Below are 21,050 nucleotides of genomic sequence, written 5' to 3'. Positions count from 1 at the left end.
GCCTCCCTGACCAGATCTGGTCACTCAATTACATATCCTCATTGTTCTCTGTATTTTCTTTTATTGTATTTAGATTGTTCCATAATTATAGATTTGTGTAATTATTTGAAGGTAGATGTGGCTATTTTGTTTCAGCACATAGATATAGAAAATTATATTAATGACCAGCTACATTTGGCTGCCAATATTGTCAAGATATGTCAAGTTTTTCCGGAGGCTTATAATTTTCACATTTTCCTCTATTTTCTAGTTGCATCAGTAAAAAAAAAAAAAAAAAATTTGAGACAGAGTCTCACTCTGTCTCACCCAGGCTGGAGTGCAGTGGTGCAATGTTGACTCACTGTAGCCTTCACCTCCCGGGTTCAAGCGATTCTCCTGTCTCAGCCCCCTGAGTAGCTGGGATTACAGGCACGTGCCACCATACCCAGCTAATTTCATATTTTTAGTAGAGATAGGGATTGATTCTTTCTTTCTTTCCTTCTTTCTTTCTTTCTCTCTCTTTCTTTCTTTCTTTCTTTTGAGATGGAGTTTCACTCTGTCACCCAGGCTGGAGTGCAGTGGTGCAATCTCGGCTCACTGCAACCTCTGCCTCCTGGGTTCAAGCGATTCTCCTGCCTCAGCCTCCCAAGTAGCTGGGATTACAGGTGCCTGCCACAATGCCAGCTAATTTTTTGTATTTTTAGTAGAGACAGGGTTTCACCATGTTGGCCAGGCTGATCTTGAACTCCTGACCTCAAGTCATCCACCTGCCTCAGCCTCCCAAAATGCTGGGATTACAGGTGTGAGCCACTGCGCCCGGCCTGCATCAGTTAAAATTTTACTTAGCTGCAAGTCACTGAACATAGTGCTTCACCAAATAGGGTTTTTTCTCTTTTTCTCACATTATAGAAGTCTTGAGGTAGGGCTGAGGCAGCTGCTTACAGAAAACAAGGTCCCAGCCTCCTTGTAACTTTTCTCCGCTACTCTTAATGCCTGACTTTCTTCCTCACAATGGAAAGCTGGGCTGCTGCCCCTCCAGCATGGTGTTCATACTCTACACAGAAAGAAGGGGAGGGGTCAAGGGCAAAACATGTGTACTGATTGGACTTGTCCCTTTTTCTCAGGAAAACAATAGGGCTTTCCTGAAAGCCCCACAGAGGAAGCTTCTACGGATATTTTTTGGCCAGACTTGGGTTGTAGACACTTCAGCTTCAAGGGGCTCTGGGGAGGTATGTGATCTTCCATGGGCAACCTGCTGCCCTAAGCCCAGCTGGAGCCCTGTTAGTGAGGAACAAGGAGAGATTGGAGACCTGGAGGCCAACCAGGGTATCTGCCGCTCTACTGCCACAAACAAGTAGATCAGCTGGGTTCCAAGGCTCTGACTCAGTCTCAGAAGCCTATATGAAAGTAATCCAGATGAGTAAACTTTTTGAGTTTGAAATTTTGAGCAGAGAGACTCAAGCTCTTTAAAGAGAGAGAGAGAGAGAGAGGAGAGGAGAGGACAAGACAGAAGAGGAGAGGAGAGAGAGACTGGGCACGGTGGCTCACATCTGTAATCCCAGCATTTTGGGAGGCTGAGGTAGGTGGATCACTTGAGGTCAGAAGTTCAAGACCAGCCTGGCCAACATGGTGAAACCCCGTTTCTACTGAAAAAAAAAAAAAAAGCAGGACATGGTGGTGGGTGCCTGTAATCCCAGCTACTTGGGAGGCTGAGGTAGGAGAATCGCTTGAACCCGCGAGGCGGAGGTTGCAGTGAGCCAAGATCATCCCACTGCACTCCAGCCTGGGCAACAGAGCGAGACTCCATCTAAAAAATAATAATAATAAAATGGTATTCATGCCTGTGGTAAGAAAGAAAGATTGGGCTCTGCATGTATAGTGCTAAGCCATGCAAGTGAAAAGTGAAGAAGTCCAACAAATACATGGTTGATTTATCTATATAATACTAAATAAATCTGCTTAAACCCAATATATGAAAGCATCCTTCCTCCTTGAAATATTCTTCTCACTGTACACTTCATTTTAAAGATCTACTTTTTTTTTTTTTTTGAGACAGAGTCTTGCTTTTTCACCCAGACTGGAGTGCAGTGGCATGATCACAGCTCAATGCAGCCTCAACCTCCCAGGTTCACGTGATCTCCCCACCTCAGCCTCCCGAGTAGCTGGGATTACAGGTGTGCGCCACTATGCCAAGCTAATTTTTTTTGTGTGTGTATTTTTAGTAGAGATGGAGTTGTGCCATGTCACAAGGCTGGTCTCAGATTCCTGGGCTCAAGAGATCCTCCTGCCTCAACCTCCCAAAATGCTGGGATTACGGGCATGAGCCACTGTACCTGGCCTAAAGATCAACTTTCAAGAAGTTAATTCATCATTAAAATTTGAGCCTACAATTAAGGCATGACATTACTAGACATTGCCCCCTCAGTCACACGGCTTCCTCCATACCCTTCATGCAGGCATGTGTTCAGTCTCTAGGAAGAGAGCAAGTGAGATGCTCTATCCATTCATCAAATGAAAAATGAAAAATAAGCACACCGCCAGTTCAGCCATACCTAAGAACAGGAAAGTCAGACGGCGAAGGAAGAATTAAGAATGCAAGGGATTCATAGAGAGATTGAGCCTATATTAGAGAGAGTTTAGAATGAGGGAAGCAAAGTGATTTGTGTGGGGAATGGCGGGGAGAGTTTTCTTCAACAAGGAGATGACAAGCTGGATAACTCAGGGTCAAGGCCACATGACCTATGGAGCACAGGCAACAAGATAGCAAGCAGGACATGCCCACATGGTGAGAATTTCTTTTTCAATTAGTACTACTGCCTTTAGTTAGTTCAAGTCAACAAGCTTTTTGTTTGTTTGTTTTTGTTTTTGTTTTTTGAGACATAGTCTCACTCTGTCTCCCAGGTTGGAGTGCAGCAATCACAGCTCACTGCAGCCTCGACCTCCTGGGCTCAAGCGATGCTCCCACCTGAGCCTCCTGAGCAGCTAGGACCCCAGGTGTGCACCAACATGCCCAGCTAATTTTTTGTTTATTTTTGTAGAGATGGGGTTTGCCATGTTGCCCAGGCTGGTCTCGAACTCCTGGACTCAAGCAACTTGCCTACCTTGACCTCCCAAAGTGCTGGGATTACAGGTTTGCACCACCACACCCAGCCAACAAGCATTTCTCAGCCATCATCTGTGTGCCAGAGGCTGGTACTGTCCTCTCTCTGCCTTGCAAGAAAGGAGAATAAATATTATCACTAGATGGAACTTTGGAGGACTCAACATTCATTTTAGAGATAAGGATATTAAATGACCCCATAGTCACCCCAGTTAATTAACAACAGAAAGCCATGACAAGATCCAGGGTCTTTCAGGCCTTGAATATTCACCCAAACAAAACCCTGAGGACCTGGATGCAGCCCATCTCTTCAACAGGGCAATTCCTCCGTTTCAGAGGAGATGGAGTTTTGCTGTTGCTGCTGTTGCTTTGTTTGTTTTTTTACAACTGACTTACCATGTACAAAGTCATGCCATTCAAAAATTATCCCTGATTCTCAAACTTACCCTGTTATTTTTCTCTGCTGTCATCAAGCATATATCAGCTGAAACCTGGCTGAAAATGCCTCCCATGAAGCCTGGTTCAACCTACCCAATATTCATTACTTCACTCTGCTCCCCAGCCCTTTTTCCCACATACATCATCCTCTGCCTTCCTTCCCCACTCTTGGGCACCTCCATGCACACCCACCAGATTGATCTGCACTTTTTAATTGATTGTTTCAAGGTGTTCTGATGTCATGTCAGAGGCTAGGTCTCCCAACTACCTTTGTAAAGGCAGGAAAACAAAGGCAATACTACACATCGGCTAATGGTTTGGAATGAGAAGACCTGGATTGCAATTTACTGTTTTGTTTTGATTTTTTTTTAAGACGGGGTTGACCAGGCATGGTGGCTCACACCTGTGATCCCAGATGTTAAACAGTAAATGGGCCAGGGGCGGTGGCTCACGCCTATAATCCCAGCACTTTGGGAGGCTGAGGTGGGCGGATCACTTGAGGTCAGGAGTTTGAGACCAATCTGCCAATATGGTGAAACCTCGTCTCTACTGAAAAAAAGACAAAAATTAGCCAGGCATGGTGGTAGGCACCTGTAATCCCAGCTACTCAGGAGGCTGAAGCAGAAGAATTGCTTGAACCTGGGAGGTGGAGGTTGTAGGTTGTAGTAAGCTGAGATCATGCCACTGCACTCCAGTCTGGGTGACAGAGAGAGACTCTGTCTCAAAAAAAAAAAAAAAAAAAAAAAAAAGATGGGATCTCACTCTGTCACCCAGGCTGGAGTACAGTGGTGCAATCTCAGCTCATTGCAACCTCCAGCTTCCAGTCTCAAGCAATCCTCCCACCTCAGCCTCCTGAGTAGCTGGGACTATAGTCATGCACCACCACACCTGGCTAATTTTTGTATTTTTGGTAGATACAGGGTTTCACTATGTTGGCCAGGGTGGTCTCGAACTCCTGAGTTCAAGTGATCCACCCACCGTGGCCTCTCAAAGTGCTGGGATTATAGGCGTGAGCCACCGCCCCGGCCCATTTACTGTTTAACATCATTGAGCCTCAGGTTCCTCACGTGTATAATGAGGATAACAATACCTGCTTTGTAAGGATGATGCAAAGACTCGATGAGGTAATGCTTCACAAGCACTGAGTGGTATAAAGTTTCATACTGGTATAAAGTCAGGGCTCAATATGTTTATTGTCATTATTTTATTTGTTCCCACTCTCCCATCTCTCCAAGGAAAACCTAACCCATGTCATTGGTCAGACCTGAGTTCAAATCCTAGTTCTTCCACTGACCAGCCATATACAATCTCGAGCAATTCCCATGACCTTCCTGAGCCTCCTGGAACAAAGTCTGGCTATGGGCTATACCCAATATTTGTTGACTGAATAAGATACAGTTTCCTTATGGATGAGACAGAGATAATAAATCTCATCTCACCTGATTGTTACAGCAGTTAAGTGAGATCATGTAAGCCAAGTACCTGCTATATTCTCCTTCTTTAACTCAATTGATGAACCAATTGCCAAGGAAGGCAGTGGATTCATTGGATGGGTTTTTTTTGTTGTTGGTTTTTTTTGTTTTTTGTTTTTTTGTTTTGTTTTGTTTTTGTTTTGAGATAGGGTCTTGCTCTGTAGCCCAGGCTGAAGTGCAATGGTGTGATCTTGGCTCACTGCAGCCTCGACATCCCAGGCTCAAGCAAACCTGCCTCCTCAGCCTCTTGAGTAGCTGAGACTACAGGTGCATGCCACATACCCGGCTAATATATTGTGTTTTTTGGTAGAACAGGGTCACTCTATGTTGTGCAGGCTGGTCTTGAACTCCCGGGCTCAAGCCATCTACCCGCCCAACCTCCCAAAGTATTGAGATTACAGGCATGAGCCAGTGTGCCCAGCCAATTCATTGGATGTTAGATCGAGTCTTTAATTCATATGATGTCTTGATACTTAACTACATTTCTTTATTTCTTTGTTTCTTTTTTATTTTTTTTTATTTTAAGACAGAGTCTCGCTCTGTCACCCAGGCTGGAGTGCAGTGACGCAATCTTGGCTCACTGCAACCTCCACCTCCCAGGTTCAAGCAACTCTCTGCCTCAGCCTCCCGAGTAGCTGGGATTACAGGCGCCTATCACCACGCTTGACTAATTTTTGTATTTTTAGTGGAGACGGGGTTTCACCATGTTGGCCAGGCTGGTCTCGAACTTCTGACCTCAGGTGATCCGCCTGCCTCGGCCTCCCAAAGTGCTGGGATTACAGGCGTGAGCCACTGCACCCGACCCACATTTTTTTCTTTATTTTCCACAATAGCTCTTGGGAGAGGGTGCAGTGAGGATACATAACACTCTCTTCTCCATCTGAGTTCTAGATCAACAGAGAAAGAAGACAAGAGAATAATCAAATAGGGGACAAATATCCCCTTTAATAAGCTGATTTGGAAACTGTGGCTTATATAGGGTCAAGGGTCTCCTCACATTAAACTCCAAAGATAGGCAGACTCACATACTCTGGAGCACTAGAACTCTGAAGGCCTCCCCCAACCTCACCCAACTAGGAAGACCTGCCCCTGGAGGAGCAGAACAAGATGTGTAGTTAAAAGACTAGGCCATGCCTGCCCTTTCTTCTCGCACTCAAGCAACTCGCTCATCTCCCCAGAGGGTGAGTAAAGGTGAGACAGAGGCCAGGGGTATTTGGGGGAAACCCCATCTTTGAAACAAAAAATGGACAAGAAGTATTCGCCATCTAACAACCTCTATATGCAGCATGGATTGAATAAGCACCCTGATTTCCCCACAAGAATTTAGAGGGTACATGAAATAGTGGTGACAAGCCCAACCTGGAGGCAGCTGCTCAGTTTTGAACTCAGGCTCTGCCACTTACTAGCTATGTGACCTTGAGCGAGTTATTTCTCCTTCCTGAGCCTCTGTCTTGTTTTTAAATTGTACATATTTAAGATGTGTAACACGTTTTGCTACACTTATCTTGAGGTACATATACATGCCAAGGTGATTACCATAGTCAAGCAAATTAACATGCCCATCACCTCACAGCTACATTTTTTACTTTTCTTTATTTTATTTTATTATTATTATTATTTTTAAGACAGGGTCTCACTCTGTCACCCAGGCTGGAGTGCAGTGGTACCTTGAACTCCTGGGCTCAAGCAATTCTCCCACCTCAGCCTCCCAAGTAGCTGGGAAGCTGGGACTACAGGCGTGTACCACTGCACCCAGATCTCTCTCTCTCTCTCTCTCTCTCTCTCTTTCTCTGTGTGTGTGTGTGTGTGTGTGTGTGTTTGTGTGTGTATTAAGAGTACCCAAAATCTGCCAGGCATGGTGGCTCATGTCTGTAAACCCAGCACTTTAGGAGGTCGAGGTGGGAGGCTCATTTAAGCCCAGGAAGTCTTGGCTGCGGTGAGCTGAGATTTCACCACTGCACTCCAGCCTGAGTGACAGAGGAAGACCCTGTCTAAAAAAAAAAAAAAAAAAAAAAAAAAAGTACCTAAAATCTTCTCTTTTGGCAAACACCAGTATAGAATACGGTATTATTAACTGTAGTTTTCATATTGTACATTAGCTCTCTACACTTGTTCAGCTTACACAGTCACAACTTCATACCCTTTGTGAGACTCCATCTTGTCATCTGTAAAATGCCAATAATGAATATGCCTCCTTCACAAAGTGGTTGTGAGGATTAAATAAAAGAATGTTTATAAACTACTTAAAGCATTATAAGGTAAGTACAAAACAAATGTGAGTTATTATTATCATGAGGTTGGTAACTTTGTCTTACAAAAACTATAAACTCTTCAATTTAAAAGGTGAAAGAAAATACCATGCTAGCCAAGAATTGCGTACCAATTCTCTCACTTGAACCCAAAACAAAAAATAATTATCGTCAACACCTGATCATACCTGTGATCTTAGGACCATAAAAACCATCTCTCAGTGCCAACACCTCCTGCCCCAACTTCCCACGAAAGACATTTTTCATCCTGTTAAACTGAAGTCTCTTTGATCCCCCCAAATCCCATTAATCAAAAAGACACGTCTTTTCGATTACTGTCCTCTCCTATGGACAGCTGTGGGGAGATTGTCAAAGAGAAAAATCCTTATAAGGTTTTTAAAATATTTTCTTATGTCAGTTTTCTGCTGAGCTATTGAGGTTGGCAGAAAAACCCTTACAAAGTTTTTTAATATACTTATAGCAGTGCTTCTACTGAGCCATGAGGTTGGCAGAGGTTAAAGACCTTGGCTGGGGTGTGGCTTGTGACATGAGTGTGAATTGTGATAATACTGAGAAAAAGTGGCCAGTTAGCTGCACTGCCCAAGAAGGATTCCTATTCATCAGTTATGCATGAAGGCAGTGGGTATTCAAGAAAAGAAAGCTAAAAAAGGTCCCAACTTGGAGGAAGTTGGATATGTTTGAACAGAAGTCTGAGATGTGTGTGGTAGGTCCCCCAGGCCAGGATAGAGACCTAACAGAACAGACTGTTCCCCCAAAACAGGCATGCGTGGTGGTTCCAGGTGTGGGTTTTGTTCTTTTTTTCTTTTTTCTTTTTTCTTTTTTTTTTGAGACACAGTCTTGCTCTGACACCCAGACTGGAGTGCAGCAGTGCAATCTTGGCTCACTGAACCTTGGCCTCCTGGGTTCAAGCGATTCTCCTGCCTCAGCCTCCCGAGTAGCTGGGATTACAGGTGCCTGCCACCATGCCCAGCTAATTTTTGTATTTTTAGTACAGATGGGGTTTCACCATGTTGGCCAGGCTGGTCTCGAACTCTTGACCTCAAGTGATCCACCCACCTTGGCCTCCCAAAGTGCTAGGTTACAGATGTGAGCCACTGCGCATGGCCAGGTGTGGGTTTTGAAGTCAAAAGGCAAGGGTTCAAGCCCTGCTGTACCACTTCTTTATTATATGACCTTGAGTAACTCAAATGTCAGTGTCCCCATGCATAAAACATAATCATACCTCCTTTATGGGGATATAAAGAGAATTCAATAAAGCAATGTAGGTGAAATTCTCAGTACAATGTCCTGCACGTATCTGTGCTTACTAAATGAAAGCTATTAATATTGCTATACACAATCAGAAAAACAATGAATGTACTCCCTGTGAAAAACCTCTTGGTTTATGCTGGAGAGGGCTGTGCAGGTGTTAGTATTCTCTTCGTCATTATGATGAGGTGATCTGCTTAGCTCTAGGAATTAAGTCTAGGAAATAAACCACCTGAAAATTGTTACCAATTCTTCCATTCTCTTCTATTGCTTGCTGGCAAGAAGTCTCTCAAGTCACATTATGTACCCTATAAAGTGTATGCTTTTAACCACCATGCCTTTTTCCTGTGTTGAACTGGCATTCTTACTGCCATCAAACCTGAAGGCACTTTGAATTCCATCCACTGAGTCCATGGGCGACATGGAGAGTACAAATGGTGAGTTTCACACATAATCCAAAATTTCAATTTGACCCAGCTGTTTCAATGATCTCCCTTTCCATTCTCTTTCTAGGTTGGCCAAGAGGGCTTCCTCAAGTTCATGGGATGCCTCTGTAGCTCATGGACCCGTGGCTCCTGGTGTCCACCATGGGAATCTTGGTAGGTAGAAAAAGAGGCCCTTCCTCAAGGCTGGTAGAGCCCCAGGTGGGGCCACCCCTTGGCAAATGGGGCACAAGCAGGATTTCAGCTCCAGCCAGCTCTTCAACCAGATGTCTTTGTGCAGTGCACAAATTGCACAACTGTACACAGAAGACCTGTGTAGCTATCAGAGTAATTTTGAATTACACATCTTGTCCCTTCCTTTGTCCAGTCAGAGATGAAAGCGGTACTGCTCCAGGGTAGTCAGGAAACAGAGGGCAAGGAAAAAAGTAGAGGGGAGTGTCAGAGAAGAAACCTCTAAATAGTGGAGGTGACTATTTTGAACCCTCAGCGTCAGCTGCTCCATCTTACTTTGCTCATTGTAAACCTATGGTCTCAGTTGGAAAGCCAAGAGGATGTTTATATAGGGTGGATCCAACCACAAACTATCTGAATTACTGTTGGAGAACCTGACTCTACTGTGCTCCATAAGAGTAGAGACAATATTTATTTCATTCACTGTTGTCTCCCCAGCTCTTAACATGGTGCTTGATAAATAAAAAAGGGTTCAATAAATGTTTATTGCCAAATTGATTTTTTATTAGGAGAATAATAAAGCCAATTGCTGTTCTTTTTTCACAGGCACTAGAGCACTTGCCCTACAGGTTAGGCACAATAAAAATGTTTCAAACATTTAGAAGTCTGTAGGTATGAAGAAGAAAGGGCAGGTGGGAGAGAAATGTGTTTGATTAAATCTATAAAGAGCAATGTTTGATAGTTCAGAACATGAACTTTGGAGTCCCAGATTTCCACCTACTAAAGTGGGAACACTGCATAAAGTGACTTACACTGTATCAGCGTCCACCTTTCTAAAATAGGGTTATAATACCCACAGCAGAGTTGTTGAGAAGATTAAATAACAACATGTGTAAGAAACATTTAGGCCAGGAGTGGTGGCTCATGCCTAGTAATCCCAGCACTTTGGTAGGCCGAGAGGTCAGGAGTTCGAGACCAGCCTGGCCAACATGGCGAAACCCCGTCTCTACTAAAAATACAAAAAAATTAGCCAGGCATGGTGGCAGGCACCTGTAATTCCAGCTACCCAGGAGGCTGAGGCAGGAGAATCACTTGAACCTGGCAGGCAGAGGTTGCAGTGAGCCGAGATCTCGCCACTGCACACCAGCCTGGGTGACAGAGCGAAACTCTGTCTCAAGAAAGAAAGAAGGAAAGAAAGAAAGAGAGAGAGAGAGAGAGAGAGAAAGAAAGAAAGAAAGAGAAAGAAAGAAAGAAAAAGAAAGAAAGAAACATGTAGCACATTTACTGGCACATAGTAAACACAATGAATGGTAGCTAATGTTTCTGTGCCTTTAGAAGGCTAGGGAAAATTTTAAGTTAAAAAAGGGAAAAAATCATGTAAATGTGGCAAAATCTTGACAATTGGTGAATCTAGGTGATGTGTATATAAAAGCTCGTTGTATTATTCTAATTTTATGTACATTTGAAAATTTTCACACATTTTTAAAGTTAAAAGGCAGGAAACACACAACTGCTTCCAAATCAACCAAATATTCAGTCTAGACTTCATGTATTCCCTCAACAAATATTTATAAAACACTGTGTGCCAGGCCATTGTGTGCCATTGCCATATGGAATGCTAAGTCCCTGTTCTCAGGGAACTTATAGTGTAGTTGGGAGACAAACATTAAGTTATGGAAAATTCTCCAAAAGAAGTGCTGAGAAGGCCAGGCATCATGGCTCACGCCTGTAATCCCAGCACTTTGGGAGGCTAAGGCAGGTAGGTCACTTGAGGACGGGAGTTTGAGACCAGCCTGGCCAACATGGTGAAACCCCGTCTCTACAAGAATACAAAAATTAGCTAGGCATGATGGCGTGTGCTACTTGGGAGGCTGAGGCAAAGAATCCCTTGAACCCAGGAGTTGGAGGTTTCAGCGAGCCAAGGTCACACCATTGCACTCCAGCCTGGGCAACAAAGTGAGACTGTGTTCCCTGCCTCCCCCAAAAAAAGAAGTGCTGAGAGAATAGTGAAGAAAGAAATCAGTTTAGAGAAGGAAGTCAGGAAGGCCCTCTGAGGAAGTGATATGTAAACAAAGACCTGAGGAGCTTACCTGGGCAAAGGAGTCAGCACCCATGTAAAGCAACCATCATGTGCAAAGGTCCTGAGGCAGGAATAGTGGAAAGGCCAGTATGGCTGCAACACAGTATGAAGAAAAGGTGGCTCAAGAGGAGGCTAGAGGCCAGGCATGGTGGCTCACGCCTGTAATCCCAGCACTTTGGGAGGCTGAGGCAGGTGAATCACTTGAGGAGAGGAGTTCAAGACCAGCCTGGCCAACATGGCAAAACTCCGTCTCTACTAAGAATACAAAAATTAGCCAGACATGATGGCTGTGCTACTTGGGAGGCTGAGGCAGGAGAATCTCTTGAACCCAGAGGCGGAGGTTGCAGCAGTGAGCCGAGCCACTGCACTCCAGCCTGGCAACAGAGTGAGACTCCATCTCAAAAAAACAAACACAGAAGAAGAAGAAGAAGAAAGAAGAAGAAGAAGAAGAAGAAGAAGAAGAAGAAGAAGAAGAAGAAGAAGAAGAAGAAGAAGAAGAAGAAGGAGGAGGAGGAGGAGGAGGAGGAGGAGGAGGAGGAGGAGGAGGAGGAGGAGGAGGAGGAAGGGAGGGGGAGGGAGAAGGAGAGGAAGAGGGAGAGGGAGAAGGAGAAGGAGAAGAGCAAAGGGAAATCTTTTTCAAATATTTTTCAATGTTTGCCACAATTTTGCCACCAAGAAATTGGAAACTACAACTTTGTGCTTTCGTATGAGAAATACAAAATGAGCAAAAAACGGGGCTTAGGACAGGTAAGGGATAGGTACTGCCAAGGCTTTGGATCTATGTCCACACATGTTTTTCTCCCACAGTCATCAAATGTCAAAGATTTAATTTATTTCGTGATTCTCCAGCCCTATATTCCCCACCCCCACCCCACTCCCCCAGCACCTGCTAGCTGAGGCACCCTCTTGAACCATATTCTTCACTTCAGCTGTCTTTATAAATTAACTTTCTAAACTGGGAAAGCAATACTCCACACCGCTAAGCAGGGCCAGTTTCACTAAGACAGATGGAAACAAAGAAATAGGACCACATTCACTTGCAGATTTGCATAGGTCCAGACACTGAAAGCTGGGGCCTCTAGAATTCAGACAAGTTGTTCTTACAGCTCCTGAAAAGTCATCCTGCCCTTGGTCCTCAGCCTTATTTGGTGACCTTCCACCCCTTTAGGACTTTAACTGTGTGAACAGGGGCTGAGGACCCACCCCAGGATCAAGCTGCCCAGGTTCAAATCCTCACACTGCCAGTTCGACTCTGGGAACTTGCACAAATTACTTCACTTCACTAAAACTCTATTTCCTCCTCTACAAAATGGGGATAATGTGTGAATTAAATGAGATAATGCATGTGGCATATAGTGGATTAAGTGCTTGCAGAGTGTGAGCTATTTTTAATTTCTGTAATTCTGCCACTTCTTCCTGCCACTTCTCACCTCAAATTTAAACTGCCCCCATTTAGACATGTATTTTTTACTTTCTCTCTCCCTCTCTCTCTCTTATTTTTCATAGAGACAGGGTCTCACTACATTGCCCAGGCTGGTCTTGAACTCTGTGTTTCAAGCAATCCTCCCTCCTTGGCCTCCCAATGTGTTGGGATTATAGGCACAAGCCACTGTGCCTGGCCTAAATGTCTGTGTTTTTTTTTTTCTGTTGTTTGTTTGTTTGTTTGTTTTTGAGACTGAGTCTAGCTCTGTTGACCAGGCTGCAGTGCAGTGGCTCTATCTCAGCTCACTGCAAACTCCGCCTCCCGGGTTCAAGCAATTCTCCTGTCTTAGCCTCCTGAGTAGCTGGGACTATAGGCACCCACCACCACACCCAGCTAATTTTTGTATTATTAGTGGAGACGGGGTTTCACCATGTTGGCCAGACTAGTCTCGAACTCTTGACCTCAGGTGATCCAGCCCCTCAGCCTCCCAAGGTGTTGGGATTACAGGCATGAGCCACTGTGCCCGGCCTAGACATCTGTTTTTAATCAGAGAATATTCATTTTATTTTTGGATAATTTGGGAAATTTTGTCTGGGTTGCCTCTGAGATAGATGTCTGTCACAAACATAAAGGAGAAATAATTCCCTGGTTAATTCACAAGTTGATATTGAACAGTTGCTCAGAACAGAGTTCTGTGGATGAAAAAACAAGAAGGGAGAAGAGGAAGAAGAGAAGGAAGGAGAAGATAGTATAGACCCAAGGTCTTAATGTAGGGAGGACAGATGACAAAGAAGTCAGTGAGGATGGGCCCCCTGGAAGAGCTATGTGTTGAATTGTGTCTTAAATGAGGTGATGGAAAAGAGATCAGCAGAGAGTCATAATAGGCTACTTAAGATTTGAATCTGTACATCCAGGACAGTGGTTCTCAACTGGGGGCAATTTTGTGCCCCAGGAGACATTTGGCAATGTCTACAGATCTTTTTGGTTATCACAATTGTGGGGGTGAGGGGTGCTGCTGGCACCTACTGGGAAAAGGCTACACATCCTACAGTGCACAGGACAGGCACCCCACAACAGAGCCTTATCCAGCCCAAAGTGCCAGTATTTCCAAGGTTGAGAAACCTTGATCTAGAACAAGCTTGTCCAACTCGCGGCCCATGTGCCACACGTGGCCCAGGATGGCTTTAAATGCAGCCCAATGCAAATTCATAAACTTTCTTATAACATTATGAGGTTTTTTTGCAATTTTTTTTTTTAGCTCATCACCTATCATTACTGTGAGTGTATTTTATGTGTGGCCCAAGACAATTTTTCTTCCATCATGGCCCAGGGAAGTGAAAAGATTGGACAACCCTAATCTAGAAGACTTCCACTCTTTGAGAGAACTATGTCCTCGCCATCCTTTGCTCTTTTTTAAAAGATGAGTATTCACTGAAGCCATTATTAGTGCTTTCAAATACTTTTACTCCTGGCAATAAAGATAGTGTTTTCAGGCTCAGCTAGTAATAGCATCCTCTTTTCCTGTCACTGCTGCTGGGTCTCATCCTTACTTCCCTAATACCCCCACCCCACAGACATGTCCTTCCTTTCAAGAAGAAAATCAAAATGCAGGAAAACAGTAGCCACATGTGTTAATGATTACATGATAGTACAGTAAAATCCCAGGCCCAGTAGCCTTCTCATCAGTGCTTCTTTAGATAAGTCAAGACATTTCACCTGAATGGGCTGCTGTCCAAGCAGATTAAATTAAAAGAGCTTGTAGCACACTACAAAAAAAACTTATCAACATAATTAATCAAAAAGAGTTTCCCTGGCTGTTTGTTAATGCATTGCCCCAATCGAACAGCTGAGGAATGTGACTGCTGGCTGTTGACCCTGGTAACCCAACACCACTGTGCTGTGTTGAATTGATAAACTAGTTTAAAAGAATGTTTACCTCCCTTTACTGTATGACCCTCTGCTTGGCATCCTTTTATAAGAGGATGAGCCCCGGTCCCAAGAGTCTAGTGTGTAAGGCAAAGACGGGCTGGAGAGGCTTGTACAAAGAAACTGATCTTACCATGGGAACTTAGTGCCTCATACTCAGGAGGAGACTCCAAAGCCTCTTGAGAGCAAATGGCCACAGTCCCTTGTAAAAACTGTCCCTCTACTTACGTCCACTAAGGGAGGATAACAAAAGCTGTCCACGAAGACATGAATCTCTCTGGTGGGAACAGTAGGACATGCTATCCAATCACACTCCCTTGCAGGACTCCTTGACTTCCGTAGCTACTCCAGGTCTGAGATACACCAAGCAAACACACATGGCATTCCAGACAATCAACCATCACTGACCAGGAGTTTGAGTAAACCAACAGCTTATTGGCATTTGTAAGAGCCAGTGAATGTGTGTAGCAAGGGCTAAGAGGTAGTTCAAGAACTGACTGAAAGAAGTTGACACTGGAGTCAGACTGGATGACTCCATGGCTAACAACGTGCTGCCGCTTATTGAGCATGTATTACGGCCATTGTGCAAGGCACTTTCTCTCCATTGGATCATTTAATCCTCGCAACAGTCTGTGAGGCCAGAATGATTAGACTTCGTTGATTTGCAGATGAGGAAATGGAGCCTCTGAGAGGCTAAGTGACACACTGTCAGCCTTCCTTGGAAGTCTTTGAGGCAGGGTTTAGGAAAAATGCTCACAAAATTAGCATCTATGTGGACCTGAATGAGTGGCAAGTGAGGTGAGGTACAAAGGCCTGAAGAGACTTGTAGAAGACGCTGGGAAAGAATGCAAGACTCCAAAGCTAACAAGGGAGTGGGTGGCTTGGGCATTCAAGGTATTAAGGCCAGAATAGAAGCAGGTAGTCTGATTGGAAGACAATTTGCAAGGATCCAGAGCTCCAAAGAGTGGGATGTGGCTACTTTTAGCATAAGGGATCATTGTAGGCATTAAATAACAATTACTTAAAGAGGTTATTAGCTTTTTTGGTTGCTTGGATTAAATGAAGGAGGAAAAATCTGAGTTTGGTGCTATATGTTTTTAAACTTTAACACTTGAGACTCCTTTTTTTTTTTTTTTTTTTTTTCCCGAGACAGAGTTTCACTCTGTCATCCAGGCTGGAGTGCAGTGGCATGATCTCGGCTCACCGCAACCTCTGCCTCCCAGGTTCAAGTGATTCCCCTGCCTCAGCCTCCCGAGTAGCTGAAACTACAGACATGCACCACCACGCTGAGGTAATTTTTGTATTTTTGGTACAGATGGGGTTTTGCCATGTTGGCCAGGCTGGTCTGGAACTCCTGACATCAAGTGATTCGCCCACCTCAGCCTCTCAAAGTGCTGGGATTACAGGCGTGAGCCACTGTGACCGGCCCCCCTTTATTTTTTTATTAACAAAGAGAAAGCAGGTCTTAGATCAAGATTCTTATTAGGGAATCCAGCTAGAATTTAGGAACACTGCTTTTTGTTTTCACTATGTTAATTTTTATGGTTACCCTCTATGTATGGTAATACTGGTTTTCCATTTATGGTAATAATGTTAAGTACTCTTTAAAAATGAATTTCTTTTCTTTTTTTTGTTTGTTTTTCAAGATGGAATTTCGCTCTTGTCACCCAGGCTGGAGTGCAATGGCGCGATCTTGGCTCACTGCAACCTCTCCCTCCTGGGTTCAAGCGATTCTCCTGCCTCAGTCCCCCAAGTAGCTGGGATTACGGGCATGTACCATCATGCCCGGCTAATTTTGTATTTTTAATAGAGATGGGGCTTCACCATGTTGGTCAGTCTGGTCTCAAACTCCTGACTTCAGGTGATCCAACGGCCTCGGCTTCCCAAAGTGCTGGGATTACAGGCGTGAGCCACCGTGCCTGGCAAAAATAAACTTATTTTCTAAGTGATTTTATGTAAAGAAAGCTGGTTCAATGATAGGAAGGGTGGTACATGGATATGGCAAAAACCAGGAGAGCCATATGGGAATGATTGAAGTTTGGGCAGCGCTGCAGGTATCCAAGAGAGAGAGGTGGCTCCTCAGGAGAAAACTAAGACACTAAGGAAATCAAAGCACATCTGGAGGACTGTGAAGGAAGAAGAGAAAGATTTGATATCAGGTTAGGTATTCACACCAGAGAAGGATAGTAACTAAAGGAAAATCTCACCTTGAATGTGTGCTTGTTTGACTGTGTGACATTGTGAAAAGCAACTTAGCAAAAGTTCTCTTTGTCTTTGCAATGATGACTGGTTAAAAAGTGAAAATCCCAGTCAATTAACTGGCTATTTTGTTTACATAAAGGCAACTCATCACTTTTTTTTTCAACCAACAAACTGACAGGTTAAACACACACACACACACACACACACACACACACACACAAGCCTGAATTGAGCAGTTGTTTTGGCACCATTCTGAATTGCTCTGAACAGAAACTGAACATTATAATGTTGAAATGGAGTTGACCTTTCCATGCAAAAAGGGAGCAGCTTTACACCTAGTAGTTTGCGAGGGTAGTGTACAACTTTCACCCTCCATCAAAATGTCCTCATCACTCACAGGCAGGGGTCTGACGTGTATGCCACTTGGTTTATGAGAAAAAGCAGAAATCGAAATTAAGCCACCATCAACTGTTAATACCTCCAATCAAACTAGCTCCAAGATGAGATCAGGAGCTCTGGAAGAACAGGTCCTTGAGGAAGGGAGGTCTTGGGTGGCTGAAGAACTTGGGAGGGACTGACAGGGGTCTCAAAGAGGGGAGTATAGTCACACAGCTGGAGGGTCCTGAAGGCCATTTTGCCTGCTTACCCATTTTGATCAAGGTCACACCAGCTGGGATTAACATGAACCAATCAGCTGGCATTTATGAATATTAGCTTAGTTTATTGTTGCTGTTGTTGTTATGAAATATTTCAAATATCAAGGAAATTGAAGGAATATCTTAATAGCCAGTTAAATACTCATCACCCAGATTGAATAATATTAACATTTTTTAGCCCTACTTTCATGAGTCATCTTTGTAAAATGTGTTACAAGTGCAGTTCCTTGGGGGCTCTGGAGCAAATCATCTAGCAAACAAGACCTTAGATGTTGTCCAGGGCTATCCCACTGTTACGGACTGAACAGAATTCATATGCTGAAATCTTTACCCCCAGTGTGACGGAATTAGGAGGCAGGGGCTTTGGGAGGTGATTAGATCATGAGAGTAGAGCCCTCAGAAATGGGATTCATGCTTTTCTAAGAAGAGACATGAGAGGTTGCTTCTTGTGTCTCTCTGCTCTCTGCCATGTGAGCACTCAGTGAGAAGACAGCCATCTATGAACCAGAAAGTGGGCCCGCTCCAGACACTGGATCTGTCGGTACCTTGACCTTGGACTTCCAGTCTCCAAAACTGTGTGAAAGAAATGCTTGTTGTTTAAGTACCCAGTCTGTTATATTTGTTCTAGCAGCCCAAACTAAGACACCCACCCTACAATAAGGAAGAGAACAACAGCCAGGAATGGCCAAGTGCTTCATTAGTTAATAATGGTTTTTGTTTGGGTTTTTCTTAAGAATTTAAAAATCTTTTCTTTTTAATTTTTTTTTTAAGAGATGAGGTCTCACCCTGTTGCCCAGGCTGGAGTGCAGTGGCACAATCATAGCTCACTGCAACCTCCAACTCCTGAGTTCAAGTGATTCTCTCTCCTCAGCCCCCTGAGTAGCTAGGACTAAAGGCATGCACCACCACACCTGGCTAATTTTTTCAGGTAGGTGTGTGTGTGTGTGTGTGTGTGTGTGTGTGTGTGTGTGTGTGTGTGTGTAGAAAAAGGATCTTGTTATGTTGCCCAGGCTGGTCTCGAACTCCTGGCCTCAAGCAATTCTTGCACCTCAACCTCCCAAAGTGCTGCGATTACAAGTGGGAACCACCGCACCTGGCCCTCCATAATAATGTTAACAACAACAATAATGACAATAACTGACATTTATTCAATGCTCACTCTGTGCCAGGCCCCCTGCTAAGTGCCTTATGGGCATCATCCATTTCACCCTCACATTGATACTATGGGGTTGTCAGTATGATTCCCATTTTAGAAATAAGCATCGAGGCTTTGAGATTTTAAGACACAACCATGGCACAGCTGGAATGAGCTGGGATGCCACATACTACTGACCCCACTGGAGCATGGGTGGAGCTGATGTGCTTCACCAGCCATTCTTCTCTTATCACTTCTATCTCCCCATGACCTAAACCAAAGGGATTCCCAAGCCTCGCTGTGCACGAGAACCACCTGGGGAGTTTGCTAAAAATAAGATGCTCAGGCCATTCACCTACTGAATCAGAGTGTTCTAAGCTACAGCCCACAAATCTGTACTTCAAACTACCTTTCCAAGTGCTGCTGGTGCGCAGCCGGCTTGGGAAACTGTCTAGAGCTATTGACTTTTCCAGCCACCTGGAGCCAAAGAATCTAGGCTTCAAGACCTCCTGCCCTTCTCCTCCCTTCACAGTGGGCTGCTCATGTAGCTTCGCTTTATATATATTCATCATGTCCTTTGATGAGAGCTAGGACACCGTGTCAGCCCAAGGATGCCTGGCTGTTTAAGAAAATTCAGACCTCTGGGCCCTCCTGCCACCCACCTCCTGTTCAAAAATAGAGTTGTTGCATGCAAGCAGAGGCCAGGTGACCAGGACACAGGGGAAGACATAGCCATCAGCAGCTGCCCCACCCCTCCTTTCCCTGTCCGGCAGCTGAGGAGAGGCAGTTCTTCCCTGTGTAGCCATCAACTCTCCTAGTCAGTTGGTGTCCAGCTGGGCCCTGGGTCAGGAAGTTCACAGCAGTTTAGTCAGTATCATTGAACTGACTTTACAGCATCCCCGGGAGGCAGAACCATGGAAGGTTAGCCAGAGGAGGGACTAAGAGGCCACCTGGTCATTTTACAGATGAGAAACTGAGGTCCAAAGAGGGAAAGGAAGGAGAGGTATCCATATTTTGATCCATATTTATCTGTAAGAAGATTCAAGCTCAAAGGGATGTTGAGGGGCTTACCCAAGTCAAATAGTGTTCAATAGGCAGTAGGTTAGTTAGTTGGTTATCCAGAACAAGGAACAGAATGGCCCACTGGAGTTACCAAATTAGCTCTCTGAACTGTGAGCAGATCTCTGTCTGGTACATATTGATTGGATGGGTTTGGAAATTATGACACCTGCATCAGTAGGTACACAATTATTTGGAAACTCATTCTCAGAAAGCAGTACACATATTGCCCAGGGGGCAGGAAAAGAGAAAGAAAGAAAAGAAAGCCATATGCATATTGCCCCAAAACTTTTTTTTTACAAAAAGCTCCTGCCCATATTCAAAACTAGAACTGATTGAACTGTCGACTCCAGACATGTGATGAGTTCAGGGCTTACCAATACCTTGGCCTGGCTCTTGGCCTTCTTAAATCATTTCTTTTTCCATAACCTTTCATGATTGGTCATTATTAAATGGTTCTTGCACGTTGTCAGTTCAGCTATTAATCAAATCAAATATTTCCTTTTTTTTTACGTTTTAAAATGGTAAACAACCAGTGCCACAAAGTTTCTTGCCTATGCTATAAAAATCTCCAAACATTTCTGGAAAATAATAGCCAAGGTTCAGTGAGCATTTTCTATGTACCAGGCACTATTCTAAGCACTATGTGTGCCTTCTCTTATTGGACTTCTGCAACAACCTTTTGCAGTAGATACTATTCCTATCCTTGCTTTATAACGGAAGGAATCTGAAACTCAGAGAAGCTCTGCAACTCTCCTAAGGTCATACAGCTAGGATTCAAACCCCGTCAGGCTTACTGCAAGACCTGCCCCCTTGACTGTACTGTTCTTCATAATTCTGGAAATAGGATATGAGATATTGAGAACCACCTATTTTATAAACATTTCAATGAACAGTTTTTTAACTCTTTTTGGAGACAGGTCTCACTCTGTCGCCCAGGCTGGAGTGCAGTGGTGCAATCATAGCTCACTACAGCCTCAACCTCCTGGACTCAAGCGATCCTCCCACCTCAGCCTCCTGAGTAGCTCAGACTACTGGTGCCCCCCACCACGCCTGGCTAATTTTTTTAAAAAAAGTTTTGGCTGGGTGCAGTGGCTCATGCCTGTAAGCCTAGCACTTTGAGAGGCTGAGGCGGGTGGATCACGAGGTCAGGAGATCGAGACCATCCTGGCCAACATGGTGAAACCCTGTCTCTACTAAAAATAGAAAAATTAGCCGGGCGTGGTGGCACGAGCTTGTAGTCTCAGCTACTTGGGAGGCTGAGGCAGGAGAATCACTTGAACCTGGGAGGCAGAGGTTGCGGTGAGCTGAGATTGCACCACTGCACTCCAGCCTGGCCACAGAGAGACTCTGTCTCAAAAAAAATTTTTTTTTGCAGAGATGAGATCTTGCTATGTTTCACAGGCTGGTCTCAAACTCCTGGCCTCAAGTGATCCTTCCACCTTGGC

At 44.3% G+C, this 21,050-nt stretch overlaps 3 annotated features.

The window, feature by feature from the left end:
• Positions 12,053-12,102: a silencer, noted in NCBI's record as "silent region_2624". NCBI's record gives its function as "represses an Ori minimal core promoter by ATAC-STARR-seq in GM12878 lymphoblastoid cells {active_cell/tissue: GM12878}" and the evidence as "EXISTENCE:reporter gene assay evidence [ECO:0000049][PMID:35858748]".
• Positions 12,313-12,412: an enhancer, noted in NCBI's record as "active region_3777". NCBI's record gives its function as "activates an Ori minimal core promoter by ATAC-STARR-seq in GM12878 lymphoblastoid cells {active_cell/tissue: GM12878}" and the evidence as "EXISTENCE:reporter gene assay evidence [ECO:0000049][PMID:35858748]".
• Positions 14,528-15,030: an enhancer, noted in NCBI's record as "NANOG-H3K27ac-H3K4me1 hESC enhancer chr10:94487019-94487521 (GRCh37/hg19 assembly coordinates)". NCBI's record gives its function as "activates a minimal SCP1, AML or CMV promoter by ChIP-STARR-seq in naive H9 embryonic stem cells {active_cell/tissue: H9 hESC(naive)}" and the evidence as "EXISTENCE:reporter gene assay evidence [ECO:0000049][PMID:30033119]".

Source organism: Homo sapiens, chromosome 10, assembly GCF_000001405.40.
Source record: "Homo sapiens chromosome 10, GRCh38.p14 Primary Assembly".
NCBI classification, from domain to species: Eukaryota; Metazoa; Chordata; class Mammalia; order Primates; family Hominidae; genus Homo; species Homo sapiens.
This window is presented reverse-complemented; position numbering and strand designations above follow the sequence as displayed.